Raw genomic sequence first — 7,800 nt, 5'->3', positions numbered from 1 at the left:
TTTTTAGAGGACTTAGTCCTTATACTTAAAAAAAGGTTTATTACAGTATTTCAAGTATAATTCAGATTTCAAATATGCTTAGCAAAACCCAAAACTCACTGATACATGAGCATAGATTACTCAGAGTAATCACAAATCTTGGTATTACTTGCTTTCATGTTCTTTACTAGCAGTTAGGCTGGGTTTGAACCGGATTCCTTTCTGCATTTCCCTAGGTTCTCCTAGTGTGGGTGTTTTCTTTCTTTTTCCTTTTTTTTTTTTTTTTTTTTTTTTTGAGACAAAGTTTCATTCATTGTCCAGGCTGGTGTGATCTCGGCTCACTGCAACCTCCACCTCCCGAGTTCAAGTGGTTCTCCTGCCTCAGCCTCTCGAGTAGCTGGGATTACAAGTGTCCGCCACCATGTCCGGCTAATTTTTGTATTTTTATTAGAGACTGGGTTTCACCATGTTGGCCAGGCTGGTCTCAAACTCCTGACTTCAGGTGATCCAGCCGCCTCGGCCTTGCAAAGTGTTGGGACCTTTGCAGTATGACTCGGCCACCCAGTTTATCACTTTGTGTAGATGCAAAACACCCCAAAGCAATAGATAATGAATTCCTCTTAAACTCCAGAAACATTTTAGTTGGAGGCAATTGTCAGCCTGTTACAACTGTCACATTGCCAAGCATCTTTTTGCTGCCTGCCTCCCAATCTAGGACGTCTGCCTCACCTTAGCCAATAGGTGTCTACTTTCACTTTCTTAGGCCTAGCTTATTTGTTTGGGAATTCCACTGCTCCTCTGTCTTCCCAGGATGCATCATATGGGTGTAGGATGAGTCGATATCTGTGAATCCACTGACCTTTCCTTGCATCTGACACATGAAATAGATGCATTGATCTATACTGTCCCTCATATAACTTGATTTCTATACCTTGTTTATGGTTGTATCAAATGTAGGGAAGTCAAAGTCCAAGATTCCAGGGACCGGATGACTCCAGGGGTGCACCTGGCCACGGGGAGGGCTGTTTTCATACATTCTTTTCTAAGCCTGGGCTCCTGCTGTTGCCATGGCAAGCAAGATTCTTTGCAAGCAAGAGTGAGGCTGCGGCCCAGCTCTCCCTATTCAGGCATGCTTGCGACATGCTTCTTTCCCTTTCTGTGTGGATGGCCCGTGTTCATCCTTTGATGCAATCCAGATTCCTCTTCTTTCTGGATACATCCCTGATGGCATCTGTCCCCACTGTGCTGCCATAGTGCCTTAATTAAATCCTTATCACAACATTTTTTGCTTTGTAATGTAATCATCTGCTCACATGTAGGTCTCCTCCCTGGGCTATAAAGCATTGAAAGAAAGCGACTATATTATCATTGCCTTCAGATCCTTGGTGCTCAACAGGTCTGTGCTGGTTAAAATCTGTACCTGGATGCAGTCCTGCCTGTGTGCCCGGGACCCTCACATTCCTCTAGCCTAGTCTCTGTGCTCTGTTGTCATCTGGCCTCAGCCATGGGCTGGCAAGGATCAGCAGGATACTACTCCTTAAATAAGCAGATCAACACTTGAATTAGAATTCACAACATGGAAGGTATAGCCATCAAAATCCTAAAAACAACTACACAACGTAGCTATTTTACTAATTTAGATGTTTTGTCTTCAAGTAATCAGTAAATTTATACTGTGATACTCTTTGATCTTTTTAAAAGTTGGGTTAACTATTGGTCATTGAATAAATGATGTTAAATAAATATTTACTGATTAATGTAAGCAAATCGTAGCAGATCGTCTGGAATAAAAAAATCATATCAAAAGCCTTACAAATAAGAGGTCCCAATCTGTGTTTAACTGTTTAAAATTATCTAATATTTACCTTTATTTGTCATAAAAAACTATACAAACATATAATAGATCTATTACTCTTATCTATAACTCCCTTTAAAGAGGTGCAGATGTTTTAAATCTGTTACTCGAATGACTCCATCTGACATGTGAATAAAAACCATCTGTGTAGAAGCCTGCATTATTAGCAAGACTGGGCTTACCGGGAGGAGGGAACTAGGAGCAGCCTTCAAACGAACACACCTTTTTGCCAAAGGGTGTTTATGCAAACAATATTATTTCACTAAAAGGAGAAACTGTATGAGAGTCTCCGCACTATTCATCTTAAAGTGCTTTATGTAATAAGTTAGTTCAATGAATATACAGTCTAAGAATGAAAATATAAGGAGTTCAGAAGTGGGAAGGGTCTCAGGGGTCATGGATGTCTTCAGGAAACTTAAGACTTGGAATAATAGACTTTTTTAACATTTTACTTTTAAACAATTTTAGACATAGAAATGTTGAAACCAGTGAAGAGAACGCTTGTGAATGCTTCACAGCTTTCTTTATTGTTAACGTTTTTTATAACCATGATGTATTTGTCAAAACTAAGAACTCACTGTTGGTATAACGCTATCAGCTAAACTACAGACTTTGTCTGGATTCTGCCCTTCTTCCCACTGATGCTCTTTTCTGGTCTAGGACCCTACCCTGCATGTGATCATCAAGTCTCCTCAGTCTCTCCCATTCCATGACAGTTCTTCAGTCTTCCCTGGTCTGCATTTATATTCTGTTGCTGCTATTAGAACTTTTAATAAACTTAACACCTTAAAAACACAAATTTATTTTCCTACAGTTCTGTAGGTAAGTTGTCTCCACTGATTCTTCTGCTTGGATTTTACCAGTGAAAATCAAGCTCAGCTCTTACTGAAAGGTTCTGGGAAAAGTCAGCCTCAAGCTCATTTAGGTGGTTGCTGGAACCACCTCTTTGTGGTTGTAAGACTGAGGCCAGTTTCCCTGCTGGCTGTGAGCAGGGGGCTCTCCTGAACTCTTGGTGATCTCTCGCTGGTCCTGGCACATAGCCTGTCATCTCAGCGTCATCAACAGTGCATCAAATCCTCCTCACACTTGGAGTCTCTCCAACCTTAGGTCCTGCACTTGTAGCAGCTTTCTAACAGGTGCACAAAGCTCTGACCTTTTAAACATCCATGTGACTAGACTGGCTATAGCTCGTGAATCCAGAAAAACCTCTCCACTTTAAGGCTGGTAATCTCACAGCTTCACATCTGCCAAGTCCCTGTTGCCAAGTAAGTTCACATCTGCTGGATCCAGGGCTTAGGGCATGCATGTGGGGGAGGGGCGGTCCGCTCACCATGTTGTTTTCCATGACTAACACTTCTAAATAGTCCTGTTCAATTAGTTCGTACAGTGTCCCTCAATATAGATTTGTCTGCTGTTTTCTCATGACTAAATTCAGGTTCGACATTTACTAGAAAGAATATCACCAACAGATGATGTACATGCTCACTACATCAGAGGCATAATTCACAGTACCAACAATGTACCCTTGCTGACATAGACAAGGAAGTATCTGCTGGGCTCTTCAACTGTACAGTAAATATTTTCACTCTGTAATTAATAATATTTTGGGGGCAGATATTCTGAGACTGCAAATATCTTGTTTCTGCCCGAGATGGTGATTTTAATTTCTCTCATTCTTCATGTTTCTTAATAGAATGCTCATAAACAGGAGAAATATCCCTTTTCCCTTACTTATTTATTTATTTATTCAATCACTTATTTAAATCAGTTTGGATTCCTGGATTTCAGTTTTATGTACTCTATAGGTTTTAATCCAGTATTGCCATTGTTTATTTTATGGTCCAAATTGTTCCAGGTTTGGCCACTGGGAGTACTATCAGGCTGGTTCTTGTAGCTCTCTAACATCCCATCCTTTTATGAGTGCTTCCTTATTTTTCTGTTGCCACAGGGTGCCCTGGACTCTTGCATTTTTCCCAACCAGCCTGAGTTGAGCCAGTTAGAACTCTGGTTCCTTTCACTGGAGCATGATTTGAGAAACCACATGAGGGTGTGGATGCCAGGTATGCTCAGGATAATAAAATTTTCGAGGAGTTTGAAGTGTCATGTATTGTTTTCCTCCTCTTTTATTATATTTTTAGCTCCTTCTTCTCTACTTGCTCCTTCCCGTGGGTATTCAAGTATAATTAAGTCTGTCCTACCTTTAAAGACAAAAATAAATATTATTTTGAAGAAGTTTATATCCCTACTGAAAGAAGTTAGCCAGCTTGCTTTAAGCATACAGTAAGGGAAGGGTCTCCGGAGAACCTCCGACCTGCCCCAAAAGTGCTTACGTCAGATGTTTTATGCAGATAAGGGCACTTGCACAGGGGGCTTGCCTAAACATGCCTGCAGAGGACTAAGGGCCTGCATGCACACTGGGGGAAGTGGGTGGAGCCACCAAGAATTCATTCCTTATACAAATAGGGAACCCAGCCTCATCAGCTTATATTTATATACGCCCTTGTATTCAACTGTGAGGGGCAACCAACAATCTGCTTTCAGGACTCCTCTCTTTGCTGAGAGCTTTCCTTTTGCTTAAAAAATTCTACACCACTCACTCTCTGGTGTCCACACACCTAATGTTTCCTGGCAAGAGACAAGAACCTGAACCTAGCTGAGCTAAGGAGTAAAAAATCTTGTATCACTACCAGTTATCCCTACCTGTTATCACTCCGATTTTCTCTTCCATTTTCATTATTAAACTCTTGAAAGTGTGGGTGGTCTAAATCAGTGGTTCTTACACTTTGTGTTCTTGGGACCCCTTTACACATATTAGAATTACTCAGTACCCCCAAAAGATTTTATGTACATGAATTACAGGGGTTGATATTCACTATATTCTGAATTAAAACTAAAGTTTTTCAAAAAATTAAAAAGGTTTAATGACAATAATAAGGAATTTACATGTTAACATGCATAAGGTATTTTTGAAATAAACCATAATGATTCCTCCAAAGATTAGTGGAGAGTGGCACTGTTTAACACTCTCGCAAATTTCTATCATGTCAGGCTTACTAGTACACAACTAGATTCTGATGTGTGCTTCTGCATCCAACCTTTTGCAGGATGTGGTTCTGGCTGGAGCAGTGAAAATAAGGCCTACACTGATACGCAGTTGAGAGAAGAAGAGTATTTTAATAACCAATTTGGATAATTGTCGATTTTTTTCATTGATAACTACACTAAGCTTGAAAAGTTGTAGTTTCTCAAAGTTTAGCTAAGTGTGGACTTAATTCATAATTGAAAAACATTTCCTACCCTGTTTCATTTCAATTCTTTGGGATATCTTGGGTTATAAATGGCTCTTTTACAAATGCATGATTTTGAAATATACTGGTCATTGAGAAAATACTGGTTTCCTAAGTTATGCAGATCTTCCAAATATTGATGTATTTCTTTAAAAAACTATCTTACAAAATTCTAAGAAATACAAGAGTACCCAAGCACACATTCCATTAGCCATCACTACAATAACATAACATGCTTCATGGAGACTCTAGAAAACTCTCTTGTGCACTTGTTGGAGAATGAATGTAAAAAAGGCAAATAATAGCATTCAATTTTTGTTAAAGTAGCTTGGACCTCTTGAACCCACTGCCAAAGTTGCAAGATACCCCCACCCACAGTGTTCTCCAGACCCCAAATTAAAAAGCAGTGGTGCATACACTTGCTGCCCTAGATGTCTCACTGCAAACCTCTACCCACAGTCTCATTTACTGTAACCAGAGGAAAATAATTCCATTTGTTTTCAAATCAATATTCAGTTCTTAGGTTATGCACTCTCTTGTATGTGTGGCCCTTTGACTCTTTTTTTTTTCTTTTTTTTCTTTTTGAGACAGGTTCTGACTCTGTTATCCAAGCTGGAGTGCAGTTGTGATCATAGCTCCCTGTAACCTCTGCCTCATGGGTCAAGTGATCCTCCCACCTCAGCCTTTCCAGTAGCTGGGACTACAAATATGTGTCACCATGCTTGGCTAACTTTTGTATTTTTTGTAGAGATGAGGTTGTGCCATGTTGCCCAGGCTGGTCTCAAACTCTGGGGCTCAAGTGAACCTCCCACCTTGGCCTCCCAAAATCCTGGGATTACAGGCGTGAGCCCCCATGCCTGGCCCATTTTGACTCTGGACCACTTCTTCCTGGAATGCTCTTTTCTCCTGGACATCTCTAGAACTCTGTGACATTGCTTGTTACTCCACCTGCCTCTATGACTACCATGCCCAAACTCCTTTGTATCTTCTTTTTTGCTTATAGCCTTAAAGTAGACTTTTTTTCAGGTTTCTCTCTTCAGCCCTCATGTGTCCTTTGCTTGATTTCTCTGGGGCCTCCCCTACTACTACAGCATCAGATCCCATCCATGTGAGGATGATTTCATACTTCATCAGACATCATCCACATGAGGACAATTTCCAATCAAATGCCTAAGCAAATGCCTTTGCCTGCACCCCAGAATCACATATTCAGCAGCATAATGTGCATCTATACCTAGATGCTCCTTAAACACATGCTCAGCATTTCTTTACCTGAATTCATCATTTCCCCCCAGCACCACTGACAACATTTAAGAGTTTTGATCACAATCAACAGACAATAACAATGTTTTTTATCAATCCTTTTCCTCTCTCAAAATCAGAGTGATATTTTCTTAGTCTCCAATGTGTTTTTTCTGTTTTCCTAAACTCCTCAAAGGCCACTTGTTTGTTTAAATAAATTCATTTTTATGTTCCTTTAGCATTTTGAAATGTTATCCTTCCAGTCCTTCCTTAAAATATCTAGGCATTATGTAAAATATCTAGTATTATTTCACTTAGCATAATGATTTCCTGATTCATCCTTGTAGCATGTTTCAGTGTTATATTTCTTTGTATTGCCATATAATATTCTAGTAAGTATATATAATCTTTTCTTCAGCCATTCATTTGTTCATGGACATTTGGGTTGTTTCCAACTTTTGGGTATTGGGTATTCCAACTTTTGGGTATCGCTATAAACATTTGTGTAAATTGTGCACGTGTGTGTGTGTGTATTAGTATTTTTAAAGTATTTTTGCATAGATATCAAAAAGTGGAATTGCTGAATCATACAGTATCTAATGTTCAATATTTTGTGGAACCCCAAAAGTATAGTACAAAGTGGCTTCATGATTTTATTAGTCTGGCCAGCAATGTATGAAGATTCTAATTTCTCTCTCTCTCTCTCCCTCTCTATCTATTATCTATCATGTTTAATACACCTGTCCTAATGGCTGTGAAGTGGTATTATATTGTGAGTTTTATTTCTGTTTATCCAAAGTTTAGTAATGTTGAGTATCTTATTGTCCATTTGTATATATTCTATGGAGAGATACCTACTCAAATCCACTGCCCATTGTAAACTGGGTTATCTTTTTCTCATTGAGTTATACAAGTGATTTGTATATTCTGTGTTGTAAACTTACCAGATACAAATTTGTAAATATTTCTCCTATTCTGTGCTTTTTTTTCACTTCTTTTGATGGTGTCGTGTATAGTATGACATTTAAAATTTTGATTTAGTACAGTTTACTGGCTTTTATTTTGTTTTGAGTGCTTTTTGTGTTAAATCTAAGAAACGATTGACTAAGCAATGGTCACAAAGATTTACTACTATGTTTACTTTTAAGGGCTCTTACATTTAGATTTATCAATCTTTTAAAAATACTTTTGTATATAAGCATCCAACTTCATTTATTTTCATATTAATATTATCTCAGAACCATTTATTGAAATAATTTTTCTTTCCCCATTGAATTATCTTGGCATCCTTGCTGAAAATGAATTGAAAATAAACAGAAGAGTTTATTTCTGGATTCTCTATTATCTTCCATCGTTTCTTTATGCCAGTACCACACTGTCTTGTTTTAAAAGTGCATTAAATTTTGAAAACAAGAAGTGAGAGTGTTAATTTTTCAA

General features: G+C 38.6%; 1 annotated feature.

The window, feature by feature from the left end:
• Positions 3,248–4,447: an enhancer, noted in NCBI's record as "MED14-independent group 3 enhancer chr8:50291207-50292406 (GRCh37/hg19 assembly coordinates)". NCBI's record gives its function as "activates an origin of replication core promoter dependent on BRD2, BRD4, P300/CBP and CDK7 cofactors, and independent of MED14, by STARR-seq in HCT116 cells {active_cell/tissue: HCT116}" and the evidence as "EXISTENCE:reporter gene assay evidence [ECO:0000049][PMID:35650434]".

This window comes from Homo sapiens, chromosome 8, assembly GCF_000001405.40.
Source record: "Homo sapiens chromosome 8, GRCh38.p14 Primary Assembly".
Taxonomy (NCBI): domain Eukaryota; kingdom Metazoa; phylum Chordata; class Mammalia; order Primates; family Hominidae; genus Homo; species Homo sapiens.
Note: the sequence above shows the minus strand (reverse complement) of the source record. Positions and strands in the feature narration are given on the sequence as shown.